Source organism: Homo sapiens, chromosome 2 (genome assembly GCF_000001405.40).
Source record: "Homo sapiens chromosome 2, GRCh38.p14 Primary Assembly".
In the NCBI taxonomy this organism is placed as follows: Eukaryota; Metazoa; Chordata; class Mammalia; order Primates; family Hominidae; genus Homo; species Homo sapiens.
The window spans coordinates 201,274,557-201,298,364 of NC_000002.12; the positions used below are offsets into that span (position 1 = coordinate 201,274,557).

The following is a 23,808-nucleotide window of genomic DNA, read 5'->3' on the forward strand; positions in this document are numbered from 1 at the left end:
CACTACCTCCCAAGTTCAAGTGATTCTCCTGCCTCAGCCTCCTGAGTAGCTGGGACTACAGGTGGCTACCACCACGCCCGGCTAATTTTTTTGTACTTTTAGTAGAGACAGGGTTTCACCATGTTGGCCAGGCTGGTCTTGAACTCCTGACCTCAAGTGATCTGCCCATCTTGGCCTCCCAAAGTGCTGGGATTACCGGCGTGAGCCCCTGTTCCCAGCTTGAATTTTCATCTTAAAAAAGACCTTATGTTGTCCTATGTGCTACATATTTCATTACCAGTGTACCTTTCCTGCCATGTCTCATTCTAGATGTGTCTCTTCGTTGTTTGCAGGGGAGGAGTTGTGTGGGGTAATGACAATCTCGGACTCTCCAAGAGAACAGGATAGTGAATCACAGGTAGACGGAAACCTCCAAATCCTTTTTTTTACATTACAGATTCTAGTTATTTAATTTGTTAGCTTTTTTTTTTTTTTGCTGCCAGATAAACTGACAAGGGGCAGAAACTTACTGAAAATTTTGAGAACTGTAGAAAAAATTCACACAAAAAAAGTTAAAAATGTGACTTAATTTTTAAAATGTGACTCCTTCAGTTTTCTATACATTTGAATTTTATTTTAAGACCCGAGATGAAGATACTGGAATAGTTGGAGGGTGGAGGGGGTAATAAGCCTCCTACCAAATCTTCTAGCAGCCGTGCCAGCCTGGATGGGGGAGTGGTTTGGAGAAAGAGTCTAGCAGGAATGGAAAAAGCCAAGCCTTTTCCTTTAGCTTAATGTTTCAAAAATGCTTCTCCTTGGTGATGAGGTGTAAGCAGCAAACTCTCACAATCTAGCCATCTCTGTGTTTTTGTCTCAGTGAACCAGCAGAAACATGTAATTTTTAGGCATAATAACTTCTCTTTATGTAATCAACAATCCACCAAATACATCCTGACTTATTAGACGATCTGCTCCTCCTCATGGTAGGAAGAAGAGGAAATCCTGAATATCTGAAGTAGGCTTGAGAGAGATTATTCACTAGTGTGGGCTCCTGAGAAAATTACCAGACCTCTTTCATCTGAAAGTCAAGGATTAACCCAAGTAATGTGGTACTTTCTAAACAGTATAGCATGCTACAAGCATTGTCCCCACTGAAGAGCTAAAAACACTGTCTTAATATCTTAGTAAATCTTAGTATCTTTTTCCTTTTTTAATGTTTTATTGAGACAGGGGTCTTGCTACGTTGCCAAGCCAGGTCTCGAACTCCTGGCCTCAAGCAATCCTCCTGCCTTGGCCTCCCAAAGTCTGGGATTATAGGTACTAGCCACCGTGCCTGGCCAAATCTTAGTGTCTTAGTATCTCAGTAAATACACTTAATATGCTTAATAAATACTTAGAACACAACTGTAAATAATAAAAACTTAACATACTTGGTACAAACTTAATCAAATATTTAATATCTTAGAGTTAACATATTAAGATAACAGGTTATTTGCCCAAAGTCATAAGGTGAAGTAGAGGCAGGAATTGGGCTTCCTAGCCTGGAGTCCTTTTCTCCACCTCAAGGGGCTACGCAGACCTCCAACTAAATGCTGAGTTTCTCGGTACTGAAACAGCCCTAGGAGAATGAATAGGACACAGCGCCATCCCTGGCCAGTACTATCAGGTACTACAGTTTGGATACCATAACCTACAGTGTAGCCAGGACCTCCCTGACCAGCCCATCTCTTCCCAGCAGCCACCGTGGTCCTGAGAGCTGGGTTAAGCCATCACCTTTAAAATCCTGGGACCACACTGTGCAATGCATGAATGGGAGACCCTCAGCTGTTAGCCACGAAGCACAGATGAGTTCAGTAGACAGCCAAGAGAATCACAAGTCATGGCGTGGGGGCAGCCAAAGACATTCATTCATTCAGTGACTCTTGATTGAGCTCTCACAAGTTAATACACCGTAGTCCCTGGCACAGATGTTATGAACCTCAAGGAGTCTTCTGTATAGTATGGGAAGCAGAAATGAGAACAAACAATAATACAATGTGATGACAACAATATTAATATATGTGCAAAGTGCTCAGGAGGCCCAGGTATTGGGACACTGACTTTACAACGATGGGGCAGAAGTCTGAGAGGTCCTGTGTGAAGGAAATAGGTAGAAACTAGTTCTTCGAGGAAACGACCCCGAGTTGGGGTGGTGCAATGGAAAGCAAGTCCTCTTACTAGGGAGTTGTTTGTTTACATCTCTAGTGTTTGACCCACAGAGTCAGCTCCTGGGTTGGGTTTTTGTTTTCCAGACTTTGGACAAAGTTTACCAAATGAAAAGCAAACCTCGGGGATACTGTCTGATCATCAACAATCACAATTTTGCAAAAGCACGGGAGAAAGTGCCCAAACTTCACAGCATTAGGGACAGGAATGGAACACACTTGGATGCAGGTACAGTAGAACCCAAAAGAGAAAAGTAAAATATTTCTTATGCCTATTTTTTTTTAAATCAAAAGGGAGAGAACAAAAGCTATACCAAAAGGGCCATGTTTCAAGAAAATGGATTTAAACATATTTCCCTGTGGAGGTAAAGAACATTCTTATACATTTATCAGTTTCCTGCTTTTTTTAAAAATTAATTTTTTAAATAAAAGTAATGTATGTATAAATATAAAATATCAAATCTTACTAAAAGACATAATGAAAAGCAGTAATAAGCTTTGTTTTGAATTCAGCTAAATGCATAGCGCTTCTGTGGAATGTATTAGGCGATGAAATTGCTGTGGTATCAAAGTTCTTATAGAGGCTGCATTTTTACAGGTTGGGCTGTTAAGTGCAGCAGAAATTGTGGGTTCTTAACAGAAATAGCATTTTCAAGTATTAAATATTAAACTGGTTAGCAATTCTTTTGCTCAGCCAAATTAAGCTAAGATCAAGAACTTACAAGTTAAATGAAAAAACAATTTGTAGTATGTGAATATAAAAAGTGACTACAACAACAAAAAATAAAAATCATCCATCACCATTGAGAGATTAATAATTTTGATTTGATCAAAGAACTTTTGGAAATAGTGTTTATCAGGCATAACATCAATTATTGATTTGTTTTGCAAATGGAGGTAAGTTTAGAAAATTAATGTAGACTGATTATAATCATCAGGAGTCTGTAATGGCCCCTATTAACATTTTTTTTTTTTTTTTGAGACAAAGTCTCACTCTGTTGCCCAGGCTGGAGTGCAGTGGTGTGATCTCAGCTCACTGCAGCCTCCACCTCCCTGGTTCAAGTGATTCTCCTGCCTCAGCCTCCCAAGTAGCTGGGACTACAGGCACACACCACCACACATGGCTAATTTTTGTATTTTTAGTAGAGATGGGGTTTTGCCATATTGGCCAGGCTGGTCTTGAACTCCTGACCTCAAGTGATCCGCCTGCCTCGGCCTCCCAAAGTGCTGGAATTACAGGTGTCAGCCACCTGTACCTGGTCCCTGCTAACATTTGATTTGTTTATTTAAGCAAATCTAAGCCTTTAAAAAGGCACAGAGATTAAGTCCATTGATTACATCATTCGTCACTATGCGCTTGGTATTGAAAAAAATATTTTGGACCCTTGATTTGTATTCTTTTAAAATTAAAACATTTCTATTAAAATAACATTTGCTTCTATTTCTGGCAGCTCATTTTCTTATAACTGGCCCATGATTGACTAGTCTCTGGTAGGCATTCGAGTCTGTGTGTCCTGCTTTTTCTGTTCCTGTTCTTATGTTTTATGCTGAATGAGTAAAAGTAGGAGACCCAGCTGCAGAAGTCATTTCTCCTGAGAGACTCCCTTCTGTCCTGCTTCAGTGCCTTCAGACTTGCTTTACAGTCATTTTTTTAATCAACATTCCACATTTCCAAAGGATCAGAATTTTTTTCACAGAACCAACACACTGTATTAGTCTTGCCAAAGTGCTTCCAAATCAACAAGGGCCTATTGCATTTCAGTTATTTTTTTCTATTCCTAATGCTAGACTGTATTTTTTCTTTTTTTTTTTTTTGAGGCAGAGTCTCACTCTGTTGCCCAGGCTGCAGTGCAATAACATGATCTTGGCTCACCGCAACCTCTGCCTCCCAGGTTCAAGTGATTCTCCTGCCTCAGCCTCCCAAGTAGCTGGGATTACAGGCATGTGCCACCATACCCAGTTAATTGTATTTAGTAGAGATGGGGTTTCACCATGTTGGTCAGGCTGTTCTTGAACTCCTGACCTCAGGTGATCCACTCGCCTCGGCCTACCAAAGTGCTGGGATTACAGGTGTGAGCCACTGCACCTGGCTGAGACTGCCTTTTGACTGATGACTTATGTTTAGCTCTGATGTGCTGACAGGGACAAAATGCTGGAGAAGGAATAAAAAAGGAATAATCCAACAAGGATCAAGAGAACAGGAAAGGAGACAATAGCTAATGAAAGGTTTCCAACAATTTGGGGGAGTTGAAAAAAAAGAGTCGAGGTAATTGACTTAACAGAGAAAGCTACAACCTCACTGATTACAGAGGGGAACACGGAAAGGAGGCAAGCCTATTTACCCCCACAGAATCCTGGAAAAATTCAGCAATTGGAAGTACAAAGTGTAGGTGAGGCAATGAGCAGAAAACAGGAAGATTCTTTGAAAGCCTATATAAGCCTATACAATCCTCTGATTCATACCTTCCTCTCATAGAGCCAGCAACTATTCTTATTCTACCATCATAAGGAACAGGAAGTTTGTTTTCTCATAAAATTGAACCAGAGAGGCTCTACACTTCGGTGTGCCAGGCCCAGCAAAGGAAGCAATGAAGCATTTTACTGAACACAGAGAGACTGAAGAAAACCTGCTGGTGGCATGGAGTCAGATCTCTAAACCAACTTGGTTCCAAGACACTGGCAGCAGATACAGACTTACCTCTGGAGAAGCTGAAAGCTCTAGCTAAAATACATACAGATAATGACATCTGGAGGTTTCCTAATGAAATGATCAGGTCCCCAACCAATCATCTTGCTATGAAATCCCTCAGAGAACAAGCCACATCCACAAACACAGAGCTTTCAGTCGACTTTTTAATGGACTAATTAGTCAATTTATGAATGGACAACCAAAGGTCAGCAGGCATTTGAAGAAAGGCTCTAATACGAAAGAGAGGTAGCTTGGTACGGTGGCGTGAAAATCCAGCACTTTGGGAGGCCGAGGCAGGCGAATCGCCTGAGGTCAGGAGTTCAAGCCCAGCCTGACCAACATGGTGAAACCCCATCTCTACTAAAAATACAAAAATTAGCCAGGCATGGTGGCAGGTGCCTGTAACCCCAGCTACTACAGAGGCTGAGGCAGAAGAATCACTTGAACCTGGGAGGTGGAAGTTGCAGTGAGCTGAGATCGTACCACTGCACTCCAGCCTGGGTGACAGAGCAAGACTCCATCTCAAATAAATAAATAAATTACTAGATAAATGAGAGGCAATGCAAACAACAAGAAAAACATGAAACAGAATATGAATGAAAAAAAGATAATGTTGAGAAAAAAGCAACCTTTTTTAATGCTTAATATTGGTATTTAGTATTCTTAGAGAGTTAGTTAAAGGTCCATGAAAGAACAAGATGTTATGAAAAAGGGACAGAACAAGCAAGTCTCCTTGAAAATTAAAAATTTGAGCACCAAAATGAAAAATTCAATAAAGTAGAAGATAAAGTCTAAGGAAGTAGGATAAAAAGACAAAAATAGAAAATAGGAGTGAAAGATAAGAAAATTTGAAGCTAAATCAAGGATGTCCAATTTTTGACAATAAGAGTTCCAGAAAGAAAGGACAGAGAAAGGGGAAATGGAACTTTCCAAGAACGAAATGACGCAATCTCCAGATTGAAAGGGTATAATGGATTAAGATTCACTTCCAAACATATCATACCCTAGAAGCTTCTGGAAAGAGAAAAAAGTAAGCCAAATATGTAAAGTATCAGAAATGGAAAGTCTTCTCTCTAGCAACACTGAAAGCTAAAAGACTGTGAAGAAAGGCCTTCAGAATTCTGAGGAAAAATGCTTTTGGAAATAGAACTCTATAAACTAAAGACTCATACAGGGGCTCAAAAAATGTACTTCTCATGGTTATGCTCCAGCAAAGGAAACTGATAAGAAAGAGGAAGTCATAGATGGAGGAAACAGGGAACCTACTATGGAAGAGACAGAGAGATGTCCCAGGAGAAGAGAAATTCATCTGGCCTATGGAACAGCCAGTTGGTATTACAGCAGAAGGATGCAGTGCTCTGGATGGAAAGTTTTCCAGGAAGAAATAAAAATGAGTCAGACAAGTAGCCTGAAAATGTTGAAAGATTTTGGCCAGATCCATTGAGCACTTGGAGAAAAAACAGTGTTAAGCATATAGGAAACAAAGCAGATGAAAAAATAATACAATTACAAGTTCCAGGAAAGGCAAAAAGGTTAATAAGAAAGGAAACATAATGAAAGAACATTATGTTTACATAGTCTTAATAATAGAAATATTACTATGGGCCGGAGGTGGTGGCTCATGCCTACAATCCCAGCACTTTGGGAGGCCAAGGTGGGTGGGTCACTTGAGGCTGGGAGTTTGTGACCAACCTGGCTAACATGGCGAAACCCTGTCTCTACTAAAAATACAAAAATTAGCTGGGTGTGGTGGTGCGTGCCTGTAGTCCCACCTGCTTGGGAGGCTGAGGCAGGAGAATTGCTTGAACTTGGGGGGCAGAAGTTGCAGTGAGCTGAGATTGTGACACTGCACTGTAGCCTGGGTGACAGAGTGAGACCTTTTCTAAAAAAAATTAAAAAAATAAAAATATTACTATGGATTCAACCAAAACTTGTAAATAATTGAGTAAGAGCCCAAATGCTTATTCTCCATAATAAGAACTCAATGCGAAAGTCTAAAATTTATAAATGAGTAATTAGCAGTGTACCCAAATTCATTACAAAATGGAGCTCAATGTGGAAAAAAGTGGTTAAAAACTGAAAGTGGTTGCCTTCATGGAATGTGACTAGGTAATGGGGAGGGATAGAGAGGGGATAACCTTTTGTATAAGGTCTTCTAGTTCTATCTTATTAATTCATATCTTTTATTTTGCTATACATAAATAATTTTGAGAAGGTTTAGGATAAAATAAGTTGGATCTTTTATTCAAAAATTGTTTTGTTTTTTTCTGATTATGTAAATAATATAATCATTTTTAAAATTGGTTCAGTAGTAAGCCTAAATGATAGCTTACCCATCTTGTAAACTAGTTTACTAGAGAAAACAGACCAACAATAACACTCTCTCCTTTCTCATTTGCTTCAGGGTTTGAGAATGTTTTTAGCTGGTGGCAATAAATATTAGAAGCCTGCAGAATCCAGCTACGAATATAGAGGGTTTTGCTCTTGAATTTCTGGTTCAAATTCTTTTTTTTTTTTTTTTTTTTTTATTGATCATTCTTGGGTGTTTCTCGCAGAGGGGGATTTGGCAGGGTCACAGGACAATAGTGGAGGGAAGGTCAGCAGATAAACAAGTGAACAAAGGTCTCTGGTTTTCCTAGGCAGAGGACCCTGCGGCCTTCCGCAGTGTTTGTGTCCCTGGGTACTTAAGATTAGGGAGTGGTGATGACTCTTAACGAGCATGCTGCCTTCAAGCATCTGTTTAACAAAGCACATCTTGCACCGCCCTTAATCCATTTAACCCTGAGTGGACACAGCACATGTTTCAGAGAGCACAGGGTTGGGGATAAGGTCACAGATCAACAGGATCCCAAGGCAGAAGAATTTTTCTTAGTACAGAACAAAATGAAAAGTCTCCCATGTCTACTTCTATCCACACAGACCCGGCAACCATCCGATTTCTCAATTTTTTCCCCACCCTTCCCGCCTTTCTATTCCACAAAACCGCCATTGTCATCATGGCCCATCCCCAATGAGCCGCTGGGCACACCTCCCAGACGGGGTCGTGGCCGGGCAGAGGGGCTCCTCACTTCCCAGTAGGGGCGGCCCGGCAGAAGCGCCCCTCACCTCCCAGATGGGGCGGCTGGCCGGGCGGGGGGCTGACCCCCCCACCGCCCTCCCGGACGGGGCGGCTGGCCAGGCAGAGGGGCTCCTCACTTCCCAGTAGGGGCGGCCGGGCAGAGGCGCCCCTCACCTCCTGGATAGGGCGGCTGGCCGGGCGGGGGGCTGTTCCCCCCACCTCCCTCCCGGATGGGGCGGCTGGCCGGGCAGAGGGGTCCTCACTTCCCAGTAGGGGCGGCCCGGCAGAGGCGCCCCTCACCTCCCGGACGGGGCAGCCGGCCGGAAGGGGGGCTGACCCCCCCACCTCCCTCCCGGACGGGGCGGCTGGCCGGGCAGAGGGGCTCCTCACTTCCCAGTAGGGGCGGCCGGGCAGAGGCGCCCCTCACCTCCCGGACGGGGCGGCTGGCCAGGCAGGGGGCTGATCCCCCCACCTCCCTCCCGGACGGGGCGGCTGGCCGGGCGGGGGGCTGACCCCCCCCACCTCCCTCCCGGACGGGGCGGCTGGCCGGGCAGGGGGCTGACCCCCCCTCCCCCCTCCCGGACGGGGCGGCTGGCCGGGCGGGGGGCTGACCCCCCCACCTCCCTCCTGGGCGGGGCGGCTGGCCGGGCAGAGGGGCTCCTCACTTCCCAGTAGGGGCGGCCGGGCAGAGGCGCCCCTCACCTCCTGGACGGGGCGGCTGGCCAGGCGGGGGGCTGACCCCCCACCTCCCTCCCGGACTGGGCGGCTGGCCGGGCGGGGGGTTGAACCCCCACCTCCCTCCTGGACGGGGCGACTGGCCGGGCAGAGGGGCTCCTCACTTCCCAGTAGGGGCGGCCGGGCAGAGGCGCCCCTCACCTCCCGGACGGGGCGGCTGGCCAGGCGGGGGGCTGACCCCCCACCTCCCTCCCGGACTGGGCGGCTGGCCGGGCGGGGGGTTGACCCCCCCACCTCCCTCCTGGACGGGGCGACTGGCCGGGCAGAGGGGCTCCTCACTTCCCAGTAGGGGCGGCCGGGCAGAGGAGCCCCTCACCTCCCGGACGGGGCGGCTGGCCGGGCGGGGGGCTGACCCCCCCACCTCCCTCCCGGACGGGGCGGCTGGCCGGGCAGAGGGGTCCTCACTTCCCAGTAGGGGCGGCCGGGCAGAGGCGCCCCTCACCTCCCGGACGGGGCGGATGGCCGACCACCCCCCCCCGCCTCCCTCCCGGACGGGGCGGCTGGCCGGGCAGAGGGGCTCCTCACTTCCCAGTAGGGGCGGCCGGGCAGAGGAGCCCCTCACCTCCCGGACGGGGCGGCTGGCCGGGCGGGGGGCTGACCCCCCCCACCTCCCTCCCGGACGGGGTGGCTGCCGGGCGGAGACGCTCCTCACTTCCCAGACGGGGTGGTTGCCAGACGGAGGGGCTCCTCACTTCTCAGACGGGGCGGTTGCCAGGCAGAGGGTTTCCTCACTTCTCAGACGGAGCGGCCGGGCAGAGACACTCCTCACCTCCCAGACAGGGTTGCGGCCCAGCAGAGGCGCTCCTCACATCCCAGACAGGGCGGTGGGGCAGAGGTGCTCCCCACATCTCAGACGATGGGCGGCCGGGCAGAGACGCTCCTCACTTCCTAGATGGGATGGCGGCGGGGAAGAGGCGCTTCTCGCTTCCTAGATGGGATGGCGGCCGGGCAGAGACGCTCCTCACTTTCCACACTGGGCAGCCAGGCAGAGGGGCTCCTCATATCCCAGACGATGGGTGGCCAAGCAGAGACGCTCCTCACTTCCCAGACGGCGTGGCGGCCGGGCAGAGGCTGCAATCTCGGCTCTTTGGGAGGCCAAGGCAGGCGGCTGGGAGGTGGTTGTAGCAAGCCGAGATCACGCCACTGCACTCCAGCCTGGGCACCATTGAGCACTGAGTGAACGAGACTCCATCTGCAATCCCGGCACCTCGGGAGGCCGAGGCTGGCGGATCACTCGCGGTTAGGAGCTGGAGACCAGCCCGGCCAACACAGCGAAACCCCATCTCCACCAAAAAAAAAACGAAAACCAGTCAGGCGTGGCGGCGCGCGCCTGCAATCGCAGGCACTCGGCAGGCTGAGGCAGGAGAATCAGGCAGGGAGGTTGCAGTGAGCCGAGATGGCAGCAGTACCGTCCAGCTTTGGCTCGGCATGAGAGGGAGAGGGAGACGGGGAGAGGGAGAGGGAGAGGGAGACGGGGAGAGGGAGAGGGAGAGGGGTCAAATTCTTATCTATCAATGTTATGCCCACTGTGCTCTCCAGCTGTGGTCTGTGAATTACTGTGGTATAACGTGACTGTTCAAATTTCACTTTTCAGGGGCTTTGACCACGACCTTTGAAGAGCTTCATTTTGAGATCAAGCCCCACGATGACTGCACAGTAGAGCAAATCTATGAGATTTTGAAAATCTACCAACTCATGGACCACAGTAACATGGACTGCTTCATCTGCTGTATCCTCTCCCATGGAGACAAGGGCATCATCTATGGCACTGATGGACAGGAGGCCCCCATCTATGAGCTGACATCTCAGTTCACTGGTTTGAAGTGCCCTTCCCTTGCTGGAAAACCCAAAGTGTTTTTTATTCAGGCTTGTCAGGGGGATAACTACCAGAAAGGTATACCTGTTGAGACTGATTCAGAGGAGCAACCCTATTTAGAAATGGATTTATCATCACCTCAAACGAGATATATCCCGGATGAGGCTGACTTTCTGCTGGGGATGGCCACTGTGAATAACTGTGTTTCCTACCGAAACCCTGCAGAGGGAACCTGGTACATCCAGTCACTTTGCCAGAGCCTGAGAGAGCGATGTCCTCGGTAAGTTTTGCCTACTCAGCCCTCCTCACTGTTACACTACCTTCCCCCCCTACTCCATCACACTACTATCTACTCATATTCAGAGCCTATTAGAAAGTGCTATGTGATTTAGATCACATTAACAGGTCAGAGAACTGTCCAAGGGGAGTGGTTTCCGTTCAACTCTAAATGTCTAGCTGTAGATCACATAGCTGCATTTCCCAGGTCAGTTACAAAGTGGGAGAGTGGCAAGTGTTAACATCCTTAGTTTATAGATGGAAAAGCTGAGATGCTTTATTCCTTTATTCAGCACCTCAAAGGACAATCAGGGTATCACAGAGCAGGAAAGGATAGGAAAGTCATATACTCCAGCTCTCTGTCTTTAGGCCAAAACATGACTGAGCCAATTCAACTAGTTTTGGAAATCTTCCAAGAAGGCAGTAACCCAATTCAATGTTTAAACATCCTCCAACTCTGTCAAAAGTTCTATAATAGCAAACCATCCTCAAAACCTCTTGGTGCATTATGGGAGATAAATAGCAGGTTCCTTCTAGCCCTGTATTTCATGTTTTGAGTATATGAAGAGTGAGAATTTCCCGTAACTTAGATCATGAATCTAACTTAGATTTCGTAACTTAGATCATGAATCCTGCAAGGTTTCCGCGGCTAGCTACCAAGGTAGAAGAAGAGGTTGCCTAACAAAAATGCTAAGAGATCCTGGTGAGAAGAAGGTGGGAGTAGCTGCAGGAGACGTTATACTTTCACTTGCCTTAAGTTTAATTGCATCAAAGATGAATCCGCAGATGCGATGTCAATTCGAGGCAGAGAGTATTGGGGGGCATTGAAGCAATGGGGAGCCAAGTAACGTGGAGAAGAGTGAGAGACACACAGGTCAGGAGAGAAAGAAACCAACTCTAATACTGACACCGAGGTTTCTGATGGTCAAAAGAGTTCCTGAATAAACCAAAAGTAAGTTATTAAGCTCTGAGACAACCCATTTACCAGGAAAGCTGGGGTAGGTCTTGGTTTCGCACCTTATTGTTTCAAATGACTGATATTTTGAGAGAAAGAACTACAGAACTATCTCTGAGCACAGCAGAGGAGACAGTTCATCAGTTGCTTTCCCCCACAGACAGTCACAATATTATGTGATGTATTTCAGAGGCGATGATATTCTCACCATCCTGACTGAAGTGAACTATGAAGTAAGCAACAAGGATGACAAGAAAAACATGGGGAAACAGATGCCTCAGCCTACTTTCACACTAAGAAAAAAACTTGTCTTCCCTTCTGATTGATGGTGCTATTTTGTTTGTTTTGTTTTGTTTTGTTTTTTTGAGACAGAATCTCGCTCTGTCGCCCAGGCTGGAGTGCAGTGGCGTGATCTCGGCTCACCGCAAGCTCCGCCTCCCGGGTTCAGGCCATTCTCCTGCCTCAGCCTCCCGAGTAGCTGGGACTACAGGGGCCCGCCACCACACCTGGCTAATTTTTTAAAAATATTTTTAGTAGAGACAGGGTTTCACTGTGTTAGCCAGGGTGGTCTTGATCTCCTGACCTCGTGATCCACCCACCTCGGCCTCCCAAAGTGCTGGGATTACAGGCGTGAGCCACCGCGCCTGGCCGATGGTACTATTTAGATATAACACTATGTTTATTTACTAATTTTCTAGATTTTCTACTTTATTAATTGTTTTGCACTTTTTTATAAGAGCTAAAGTTAAATAGGATATTAACAACAATAACACTGTCTCCTTTCTCTTATGCTTAAGGCTTTGGGAATGTTTTTAGCTGGTGGCAATAAATACCAGACACGTACAAAATCCAGCTATGAATATAGAGGGCTTATGATTCAGATTGTTATCTATCAACTATAAGCCCACTGTTAATATTCTATTAACTTTAATTCTCTTTCAAAGCTAAATTCCACACTACCACATTAAAAAAATTAGAAAGTAGCCACGTATGGTGGCTCATGTCTATAATCCCAGCACTTTGGGAGGTTGAGGTGGGAGGATTGCTTGAACCCAAGAGGTCAAGGCTGCAGTGAGCCATGTTCACACCGCTGCACTCAAGCTTGGGTGACAGAACAAGACCCCGTCTCAAAAAAAATTTTTTTTTTAATAAAACAAAATTTGTTTGAAATCTTTTAAAAATTCAAATGATTTTTACAAGTTTTAAATAAGCTCTCCCCAAACTTGCTTTATGCCTTCTTATTGCTTTTATGATATATATATGCTTGGCTAACTATATTTGCTTTTTGCTAACAATGCTCTGGGGTCTTTTTATGCATTTGCATTTGCTCTTTCATCTCTGCTTGGATTATTTTAAATCATTAGGAATTAAGTTATCTTTAAAATTTAAGTATCTTTTTTCAAAAACATTTTTTAATAGAATAAAATATAATTTGATCTTATTGCTCCTTGGAGATTTTTTGTGTTTGGTTTTGGTTTCTGCCAATGACATCTCACAGGTGGAAAACATCTGGACTACAGACATGTTCTACTTGAGTCTCCCATGATCGGCACACACAGTTGTATTTTTAAAATTTGTTGTCAATGTTTAAAAATTAGGAGATATCACATAAAAACCAGAATAACTTCTTTTAAAAAATCATACTATCTGACAATATTGACCTCATGCTTTTGCATGGCAAAGGTCTGAGAAGCACCTTCTTCAGATGGGACAGTGCTCTGTGGGTCACTCTTCCCCATCCGCTGTGCCCCAGCCCTGCCCAAGCCCCTCTACTGAGGCTGCTGTTGGTTGCCACTTATCACTGTGCTTGGGCAATTGTTTTCCTTATGTCTAGCCCACTTCACTTATTTATGTTGCCTGCACTGTGGGTGTCTGAATTCTGGTGATGGTCCAGAGGAGGTGGTAAGAATCATCAGAAACCCTTCCTAAGTCATAGGTTAGGGAACATGATTGAGAGGTAGGGAAGTAGGGGGCATGGGTGTGAGAGAAAAATATTTTAGAGTAAAATCAACACATCATCTTTTTTTGCTACCTAAATGCCCCAGGGGACAAAGGTACACCTCCCAAATATAGTAAAAGTTCAATATGAAGAAGGCCTTCAAATCAGTTTCTTTCTAACGAAATACGTCAAGGTAGAAGAAAAATAGTACAAAACTCAGAGAAAGCTCAGCTCCCAGTATGGAGAGCATCATTTTTCAGTGAAGAGTCCGTGATAAGCTGTGAAATTCAGATGCGAATTCAAACATTTTCAGACATTCAGAGAGTCAGAGCAACCCAAGAACTAAACTCATTATATGCATTTTCTCAAGAAAACCCTCCCAGGAGTTTCCTGGGCCTACAGAAATGGTGTGCCAACCATCTTCAACAATGCAGAGCAACTTTTTGTTTATGATTCTTGTCCTTTCTTGCTACCATCTTGCACAGTGTCAGAATCATCCTTAGAAACAGTAATAGAGGCCAATCTCCCAGAACATCCTTCACAAATTTCTTCATTCTTAGAAATTATCTTTTGCCTGTAAAAAGAAAGGAAAGATGTATCAATGTCAACTCAAAAGCTAGAAAGGGTATAGGATATTTGGAGTGCAGGGAGAGAAATGTGCCTTCGTTCCTTCACCACAGCAGTCTCTCACTCATTACTTGCAGTGGTTTTGAATTTAGTGAGGTATGGTGTTCAGGTGACTAAAGTCCTATACGAGGAATTTTCTACTAAATCAATGCAATAAATAACTTTCTTCTATTAAAGTATTGACCAAAATTTATTTTAATGATTTAAGATGCAGCTTCAGGTAACAGTACACCTTCTGATCCAAAGGTGATTTCCATAGGAACCAGAAGCAGCTGCATGTAATGGCAAGACCATCAGACTCCCAGGGGAGATGGATTTAAAAACCACCCTCAGTCATAGAACTGAGCAAACTCAGAAACTGGAAGACAAATGTCCTGTGTTGTTTTGCATAGAAACAAGGACACAGGTGAATGGGAGAAGTATAGACACATCTCCACTCCACCTCAAGTGAACTATCTGGCTTTGTGTCACTGGCCTAGAGTGACATACCTCCCTCCCGAAAACACCTGTGCCTTGACATAACTAGGGAGCAGTTGGTCTATCTTCCTAACCCATTCCTCACTCAAACTCCTTCCCACTCCTAAAGAGAACTCAGCTATGTCTTTTTCAGCAGCAGCCGCACTTCAGATGAATGTTCTCTTCCGTCAGGATCTGTATGGTGTGCTTATACTTTTCTTCAGTTTCAGCAAACTTGGTTTGAAGCATTTTCTCCAGATTTCCCACTATAGCTTTCTGAAAGACATACATTTTAATAGCCATCTTCCCCAACCCAGAGCCATCCAGGGCAGAGCTATATGGCAGAGCTGGATGGAGACCTGGGTTCTTCCCCCAACCCCCATCCCCACTCCAGTAGGGACTCACCTCTTTCTGGAGTTCCAACTGGGTATAGTAGAGGTTTGTGTTCAGTGACTCTAGGATAAGGGCTTGTGCATGCAATTCTTCCTGCATGACCTGCATAAGAAGAAGCTGTTGCAGGACATCATGCCAATGTCTATTTATTTGGTCTCTTCTCCAGGGCACCTGGACTATGATGAAAGGGAGCAACCTGAGCTACTTTTGCATCACTCATGGCCACTCACACCCTGTCAGTCCTGCCTCCTCTCTGTCTCACCCATCTATATCCTTCTCTTCAGCCTCACCAGAGCTCATATGAATGGTTCTAATGGCAATCAGTTATTCATTCACTAAGCAAGTCTTTATTAAATACCTACTACCGATTCCAATTATATGACACTCTGGAAAAGGCAAAACTATAGAGAGAGAAAAAAGATTAGTGGTTTCTAGGGATTTGGAGGGGAAGGGAGGGATGAATAGGTGGGATAGAGGGCACTTTTAGAGCAGTGAAACTATTCTGTATGACACTATAATGGTGGATACATGACATGACATATTAGGCAAAACCCACAGAATGTACAACACAAAGAGAGAACCCTCATGTAAACTATGGACTTTAGTTAATAAGAATGCATCCACATTGGCTCATCAATTGCAACTAATGTGCCATCCCAATGCAAGATACTAATAATAAAGGAAACTAGTGGTGGGGTAGGGTGGGGTGGGGTAGTATATGGGAACTCTCTGTACTTTCTGCTCAATTTTTCTGTAAACCTAAAACTGCTCTAAAAAGTAGCTTCTTGAAACAAACACACAAACTTCCACTAAAGAATGAATAGAAGCCTGTGCAAAGGTCCTTAGAATGCAAAATGCTCAGGGGTGGAGCCAAGACAGCCGAATAGGAACAGCTCCAGTCTACAGCTCCCAGCGTGAGCGATGCAGAAGACGTATGATTTCTGCATTTCCAACTGAGGTATCGTGTTCATCTCACTGGGGATTGTCAGACAGTGGGTGCAGTACAGTGGGTGCAGTGCACTGAGCATGAGCCGAAGCAGGGCGAGGCATCACATCATCCGGGAAGTGCAAGGGGTCAGGGAATTCCCTTTCCTAGCCAAGGAAAGGGGTGACAGATGGCACCTGGAAAATCAGGTCACTCCCACCCTAATACTGCATTTTCCAACAGTCTTAGCAAACGGCACACCAGAAGATTGTATCCCATGCCTGGCTCATAAGGTCCTACGCCCACGGAGCCTTGCTCATTGCTAGCACAGCAGTCTGAGATCAAACTGCGAGGTGGCAGTGAGGCTGGTGGAGGGGCGCCCACCATTGCTGAGGATTGAGTAGGTAAACAAAGTGGCCAGGAAGCTCGAACTGGGTGGAGCCCACCGCAGCTCAAGGAGGCCTGCCTGCCTCTGTAGACTCCACCTCTGGGGGCAGGCATAACCAAACAAAAGGCAGCAGAAACCTCTGCAGACTTAAATGTCCCTGTCTGACAGCTTGAAGAGAGTAATGGTTCTCCCAGCACGCAGCTTGAGATCTGAGAATGGACAGACTGCCTCCTCAAGTGGGTCCCTGACCCCTGAGTAGCCTAACTGGGAGGCACCCCCCAGTAGGGGCAGACTGACACATCACACGGCTGGGTACTCCTCTGAGACAAAACTTTCAGAGGAACAATCAGACAGCAACATTTGCTGTTCACCAATATCTGCTGTTCTGCAGCCTCCGCTGCTGATACCCAGGCAAACAGGGTCTAGAGTGGACCTCCAGCAAACTCCAACAGACCTGCAGCTGAGGGTCCTGACTGTTAGAAGGAAAACTAACAAACAGAAAGGATATCCACACCAAAACCCCATCTGTACGTCACTGTCATCAAAGACCAAAGGTAGATAAAACCACAAAGATGGGGAAAAAACAGAGCAGAAAAACTGAAAATTCTAAAAATCAGAGTGCCTCTCCTCCTCCAAAGGAATGCAGCTCCTCGCCAGCAACAGAACAAAGCTGGATGGAGAATGACTTTGACGAGTTGAGAGAAGAAGGCTTCAGATGATCAAACTACTCCGAGCTAAAGGAGAAAGTTCGAACTCATGGCCAAGAAGTTAAAAACCTTGAAAAAAGATTAGACGAATGGCTAACTAGAATAACCAATGCAGAGAAGTCCTTAAAGGACCTGATGGAGCTGAAAACCATGGCACAAGAAGTATGTGACAAATGCACAAGCCTCAGTAGCCGATTCGATCAACTGGAAGAAAGGGTATCAGTGATGGAAGATCAAATGAATGAAATGAAGCAAGAAGAGAAGTTTAGAAAAAAAAGAATAAGAAGAAATGAACAAAGCCTCCAAGAAATATGGGACTATGTGAAAAGACCAAATCTACGTCTGATTGGTGTACCTGAAAGTGACAGGGAGAATGGAACCAAGTTGGAAAACACTCTGCAGGATATTATCCAGGAGAACTTCCCCAACCGAGCAAGGCAGGCCAACAATCAGATTCAGGAAATACAGAGAACAGCATAAAGATACTCCTCGAGAAGAGCAACTCCAAGACACATAACTGTCAGATTCACCAAAATTGAAATGAAGGAAAAAATGTTAAGGGCAGCCAGAGAGAAAGCTCGGGTTACCCACAAAGGGAAGCCCATCAGACTAACAGCAGATCTGTCAGCAGAAACTCTACAAGCCAGAAGAGAGTGAGGGCCAATATTCAACATTCTTAAAGAAAAGAATTTTCAACCCAGAATTTCATATCCAGTCAAACTAAGCTTCATGATTGAAGGAGAAATAAAATACTTTACAGACAAGCAAATGCTGAGAGATTTGGTCACACCAGGCCTGCCTTAAAAGAGCTCCTGAAGGAAACACTAAACATGGAAAGGAACAACCGGTACCAGCCACTGCAAAAACATGTCAAATTGTAAAGACCATCGAGGCTAGGAAGAAACTGCATCAACTAACGAGCAAAATAACCAGCTAACATCAGAATGACAGGATCAAATTCACACATAACAATATTAACCTTAAATGTAAATGGGCTAAATGCTCCAATTAAAAGACACAGACTGGCAAATTGGATAGTCAAGACCCATCAGTGTGCTGTATTCAGGAAACCCACCTTACATGCAGAGACACACAGAGGCTCAAAATAAAGGGATGGAGGAAGATCTACCAAGCAAATGGAAAACAAAAAAAGGCAGGGGTTGCAATACTAGTCTCTGATAAAACAGACTTTCAATTAACAAAGATCAAAAGAGACAAAGAAGGCCATTATATAATGGTAAAGGGATTAATTCAACAAGAAGAGCTAACTATCCTAAATATATATGCACCCAATACAGGAGCAGCCAGATTCATAAAGTAAGTCCTTAGAGACCTACAAAAAGACTTAGACTCCCACACAATAATAATGGGAGACTTTAACACCCCACTGTCAACATTAGACAGCTCCACGAGACAGAAAGTTAACAAGGATATCCAGGAATTGAACTCAGCTCTGCACCAAGCAGACCTAATAGACATCTACAGAACTCTCCACCCCAAATGAACAGAATATACATTCTTCTCAGCACCACATCGCACATATTCCAAAATTGACCACATAGTTGGAAGTAAAGCACTCCTCAGCAAATGTAAAAGAACAGAAATCACAACAAACCGTCTCTCAGACCACAGTGCAATCAAACTAGAACTCAAGATTAAGAAACTCACTCAAAACCACACAACTACATGGAAACTGAACAACCTGCTCCTGAATGACTACTGGGTACATAATGAAATGAAGGCAGAAATAAAGATGTTCTTCAAAACCAATGAGAACAAAGACACAACATACCAGAATCTCTGGGACACATTTAAAGCAGTGTGTAGGGGAAATTTATGGCACTAAATGCCCACAAGAGAAAGCAGGAAAGATCTAAAATTGACACCCTAACATCACAATTAAAAGAACTAGAGAAGCAAGAGCAAACACATTCAAAAGCTAGCAGAAGGCAAGAAATAACTAAGATCAGAGCAGAACTGAAGGAGATAGAGACACAAAAAACCCTTCAAAAAATCAATGAATCCAGGAGCTGGTTTTTTGAAAAGATCAACAAAATTAATAGAATGCTAGCAAGACTAATAAAGAAGAAAAGAGAGAAGAATCAAATAGACGCAAAAAAAAACGATAAAGGGGATATCACCACCGATCCCACAGAACTACAAACTACCATCAGAGAGTACTATAAACACCTCTATGCAAATAAACTAGAAAATCTAGAAGAAATGGATAAATTCCTGGACACATACACACTCCCAAGACTAAACCAGGAAGAAGTTGAATCCCTGAATAGACCAATAACAGGCTCTGAAATTGAGGCAATAATTAATAGCTTACTAACCAAAAAAAGTCCAGGACCAGATGGATTCACAGCCGAATTCTACCAGAGGTACAAGGAGGAGCTGGTACCATTCCTTTGAAACTATTGCAATCAATAGAAAAAGAGGGAATCCTCCCTAACTCATTTTATGAGGCCAGCATCATCCTGATACCAAAGCCTGGCAGAGACACAACAAAAAAAGAGAATTTTAGACCAATATCCCTGATGAACATCGATGCAAAAATCCTCAATAAAATACTGGCAAACCAAATATAGCAGCACATCAAAAAGCTTATCCACCATGATCAAGTGGGCTTCATCCCTGGGATGCAAGGCTGGTTCAACATACGCAAATCAATAAATGTAATCCAGCATATAAACCGAACCAATGACAAAAACCACATGATTATCTCAATAGATGCAGAAAAGGCCTTCAACAAAATTCGAAAACCGTTCATGCTAAAAACTCTCAATAAATTAGGTATTGGTGGGACGAATCTCAAAATAATAAGAGCTATCTATGACAAACCCACAGCCAATATCATACTGAATGGGCAAAAACTGGAAGCATTCCCTTTGAAAACTGGCAAAAGACAGGGATGCCCTCTCTCACCACTCCCATTCAACATAGTGTTGGAAGTTCTGGCCAGGGCAATGAGGCAGGAGAAGGAAATAAAGGGTATTCAATTAGGAAAAGAGGAAGTCAAATTGTCCCTGTTTGCAGATGACATGATTGTATATCTAGAAAACCCCATCATCTCTGCCCAAAATCTCCTTAAGCTGATAAGCAACTTCAGCAAAGTCTCAGGATACAAAATCAATGTGCAAAAATCACAAGCATTCCTATACACCAATAACAGACAAACAGAGAGCCAAATCATGAGTGAACTCCCATTCACAATTGCTTCAAAGAGAATAAAATACCTAGGAATCCAACTCACAAGGGATGTGAAGGACCTCTTCGTTGACCACTGCTCAACGAAATAAAAGAGGATACAAACAAATGGAAGAACATTCCATGCTCATGGATAGGAAGAATCAACATCGTGAAAATGGCCATAATGCTCAAGGTAATTTATAGATTCAATGCCATCCCCATCAAGCTACCAATGATTTTCTTCACAGAATTGGAAAAAACTACTTTAAAGTTCATCTGGAACCAAAAAAGAGCCCGCATTGCCAAGTCAATCCTAAGCCAAAGAACAAAGCTGGAGGCATCTCGCTACCTGACTTCAAACTATACTACAAGTCTACAGTAACCAAAACAGCATGGTACTGGTACCAAAACAGAGATATAGACCAATGGAACAGAACAGAGCCCTCAGAAATAATGCCATATATCTACACTATCTGATCTTTGACAAATCTGACAAAAACAAGAAATGGGGAAAGGATTCCTTATTTAATAAATGGTGCTTGGAAAACTGGCTAGTCATATGTAGAAAGCTGAAACTGGATCCCTTCCTTACACCTTATACAAAAATTAATTCAAGATGGATTAAAGACTTAAATGTTAGACCTAAAACCATAAAAACCCTAGAAGAAAATCTAGGCAATACCATTCAGGACATAGGCATGGGCAAGGACTTCATGTCTAAAACACCAAAAGCAATGGCAACAAAAGCCTAAATTGGCAAATGGGATCTAATTAAACTAAAGAGCTTTTGCACAGCAAAAGAAACTACCATCAGAGTGAACAAGCAACCTACAGAATGAGAGAAAATTTTTGCAACCTACTCATCTGACAAAGGGTTAATATTCCAGAATCTACAATGAACTCAAACAAATTTACAAGAAAAAAACAAACAACCCCATGAACAAGTGGGCAAAGGATATGAACAGACACTTCTCAAAAGAAGACATTTATGCAGCCAAAAGACACATGAAAAAATGTTCATCATCACTGGCCATCAGAGAAATGCAAATCAAACCACAATGAGATACCATCTCACACCAGTTAGAATGGCGATCATTAAAAAGTCAGGAAACAACAGGTGCTGGAGAGGATGTGGAGAAACAGGAACACTTTTACACTGTTGGTGGGACTGTAAACTAGTTCAACCATTGTGGAAGTCAGTGTGGCGATTCCTCAGGGATCTAGAACTAGAAATCCCATTTGGCCCAGCCATCCCATTACTGGGTATATACCCAAAGGATTATAAATCATGCTGCTATAAAGACACATGCACACGTATGTTTATTGCGGCACTACTCACAATAGCAAAGACTTGGAACCAACCCAAATGTCGAACAATGATAGACTGGATTAAGAAAATGTGGCACATATATACCATGGAATACTATGCAGCCATAAAAAATGATGAGCTCATGTCCTTGGTAGGGACATGGATGAAGCTGGAAACCATCATTCTGAGCAAACTATGGCAAGGACAAAAAACCAAACACCACATGTTCTTGCTCAGAGGTGGGAATTGAACAATGAGAACACATGGACACAGGAAGGGGAACATCACACACCGGGGCCTGTTGTGGGGTGGGGGGAGGGGGGAGGGATAGCATTAGGAGATATACCTAATGTTAAATGACGAGTTACTGGGTGCAGCACACCAACATGGCACATGTATACATATGTAACAAACCTGTACATTATGCACATGTACCCTAAAACTTACAGTATAATAAAAAAAATGCAAAATTCTCATTCTGTTTGAGGACCCAAAGGAACACCAATATGGCTGGAATAGAGATAGTAAGGATAGAGGGCCATGGTGAGGAAATACAGGGAAGTCTGGTGGCACCTGAGAGGACAAGGTAACCTAAGAACAATGGGGACCTACTGAAGGGTTTTAAGCAGAGAAGTGAATGCACGTATCTTACTGTTTACATTATGCTCCATGGGGATGGATTGGAAGGGCAAGAGGGAAAGCAACGGAACTAAGGAGGAGAATACTACAGTCGTGTAGGTGAGAAATAATGGACTAGGGTAAGGTGACAACAGAGTTGGAGGGACGTGGATGAATTTGGATTATGTTATAGAGGATTGGCTGAGGCTGCTGGGTTGAATTTGGGAGAGTGAAAGGAAAGAAGAAATCAAGGATGACTTCAGGTCTAGGCTTAGAACAGCTGAGGGAGTTGACAATTTGGGGGCTAAATCTCTGGTGGAAAATTGAGAGTGTGGAACTGGGCATGTTAATTTTGAGGTGTCTGTATGTCACCTATGTTGAAATGTCAAATGGGCAGTTGGATGTACAAGCCTGGAGCTCAGGAGAGAGGCAAGGCTGGAGGTATCAAACCAAGTTATCAGTACAGAGATGGCTTTTACATCTGTGTGAACAGATGAGCTCACCAAAGGAGAAACGGGAGATAAAGAAGATAAGTGGGGCCTGGGAACAAGCCTCAAAATACTCCAGGACTTAGAAAGTAGGTGGGAGAACAGTGGGGTGCCATTGAAGGGTTTTAAGCAGAGTTCTAGTTCTAGTAAAGGAGATTGAGAAGGTGTGACCAATGAGGTGAAGGAAACACCAGAAGCCCATGAAAGCTAAGACAGGTGAATGTTGCAAGGAGAGAATGATCAATCGCACCTGATACTGCTCATGTCCAGTGAGGTGAAGCATTCCTTGGATTTGGCAACTCGGAATTTACTTGTGATTTTAACAAGAACAGTTTCCATGGCTGGGATTGGAGCAGAAGTCAGGTTGAGGTGTAAAGGGGAGGTGACCCTTCTAATAGGTTCTGCCTCCCATCATTTTGCCTCTTCAGATTCTCCTTCACATTGCTGCCACAGTTATTTTCCCAAATGATACTCTCTCCTCAAAAACCTCCAGTGGCATCCCATTTGGAGAAAAGCAAGTGTTGGGCAGGGAGCGGAGCCCTTAAATCGGGCACCTTCTGAGAAGGTGGCATTTGAATAAAGAACAGGAGGAGGAAAGGAAGTTAGTCATGTGGATATCCGGGAAAGAGCTTTTCAGGAAGAGAGAACATCAAAGACCCCCAGGTAGGAACATCCTGGCCTGTTAAGGGAACAGCAAGGAGGCAAGTGCCTCTGGGGTGGAGTGATGTAGGGAAGAAATAGAAAGAGACAAGGTTAGAGGAAGGAAACATCAGCAAGGAGCAGGTGGAACAATCCCCAGGGCCAACACAAGGCTGGGAATAGTTCATGGTCCCACCAGGCAGAGTAGAAAATCCTTCTCATACAGAGGGTGTGGTGTCAAGTACTCAGAGGGTATTACCTCAATAGTGGGGAAAATTAGTTCCACACTAAAGACTGCTTTAGTTCTGCCCAACGAAGCTTAAAAAGCAAGGCTTGAAAGGATCAAACTGTTTCCAGGCAACTTAACTGCATCCCAGGGCAAAGCTTAAGAATATCTAAAGGAATATAAAAA

At 44.5% G+C, this 23,808-nt stretch overlaps 2 protein-coding genes across 81 annotated transcripts in view, besides 2 other annotated features; one reads left to right on the forward strand and one right to left on the reverse strand.

Annotated features, from left to right (window-relative positions):
- The window catches only part of CASP8 (caspase 8), a 54,249-nt gene extending 41,094 nt beyond the window's left edge, over positions 1–13,155 (forward strand). For 23 of the 69 annotated variants that reach the window (NM_001228.5, NM_001400651.1, NM_001400663.1 and 20 more), the window contains 4 exons: positions 333–397; positions 2,271–2,412; positions 10,260–10,761; positions 11,903–13,153. In NM_001228.5, the coding sequence (NP_001219.2) occupies positions 333–397; positions 2,271–2,412; positions 10,260–10,761; positions 11,903–12,038 (845 nt within the window). In that variant the 3' untranslated portion in view covers positions 12,039–13,153. Of the gene's footprint in view, positions 1–332; positions 398–966; positions 1,081–2,270; positions 2,987–10,259; positions 10,762–11,902 lie in introns of those variants that run through there. The other 46 variants (NR_174588.1, NR_174583.1, NR_174590.1 and 43 more) reach the window with 13 other exon arrangements.
- FLACC1 (flagellum associated containing coiled-coil domains 1) overlaps positions 13,715–23,808 on the reverse strand; it is a 76,019-nt gene continuing 65,925 nt past the window's right edge. For 4 of the 12 annotated variants that reach the window (XM_024452696.2, NM_139163.4, XM_011510610.4 and 1 more), the window contains 3 exons: positions 15,140–15,298; positions 14,901–15,010; positions 13,715–14,225 (listed from right to left, as the gene is read on the reverse strand). In XM_024452696.2, the coding sequence (XP_024308464.1) occupies positions 14,099–14,225; positions 14,901–15,010; positions 15,140–15,298 (396 nt within the window). In that variant the 3' untranslated portion in view covers positions 13,715–14,098. Of the gene's footprint in view, positions 14,226–14,840; positions 15,011–15,139; positions 15,304–23,808 lie in introns of those variants that run through there. The other 8 variants (XM_047443393.1, NM_001289993.2, NM_001127391.3 and 5 more) reach the window with 6 other exon arrangements.
- Positions 13,874–14,018: an enhancer, noted in NCBI's record as "145 bp 2:202153225 sequence used in MPRA reporter constructs". NCBI's record gives its function as "activates a minimal TATA-containing promoter with rs700635 allelic activity by MPRAs in C283T melanocytes {active_cell/tissue: C283T}" and the evidence as "EXISTENCE:reporter gene assay evidence [ECO:0000049][PMID:36423637]".
- Position 13,946: a transcriptional cis regulatory region, noted in NCBI's record as "rs700635 or 2:202153225 MPRA-significant variant associated with a GWAS melanoma risk locus at 2q33.1". NCBI's record gives its function as "allelic transcriptional activity by MPRAs in C283T melanocytes {active_cell/tissue: C283T}" and the evidence as "EXISTENCE:reporter gene assay evidence [ECO:0000049][PMID:36423637]".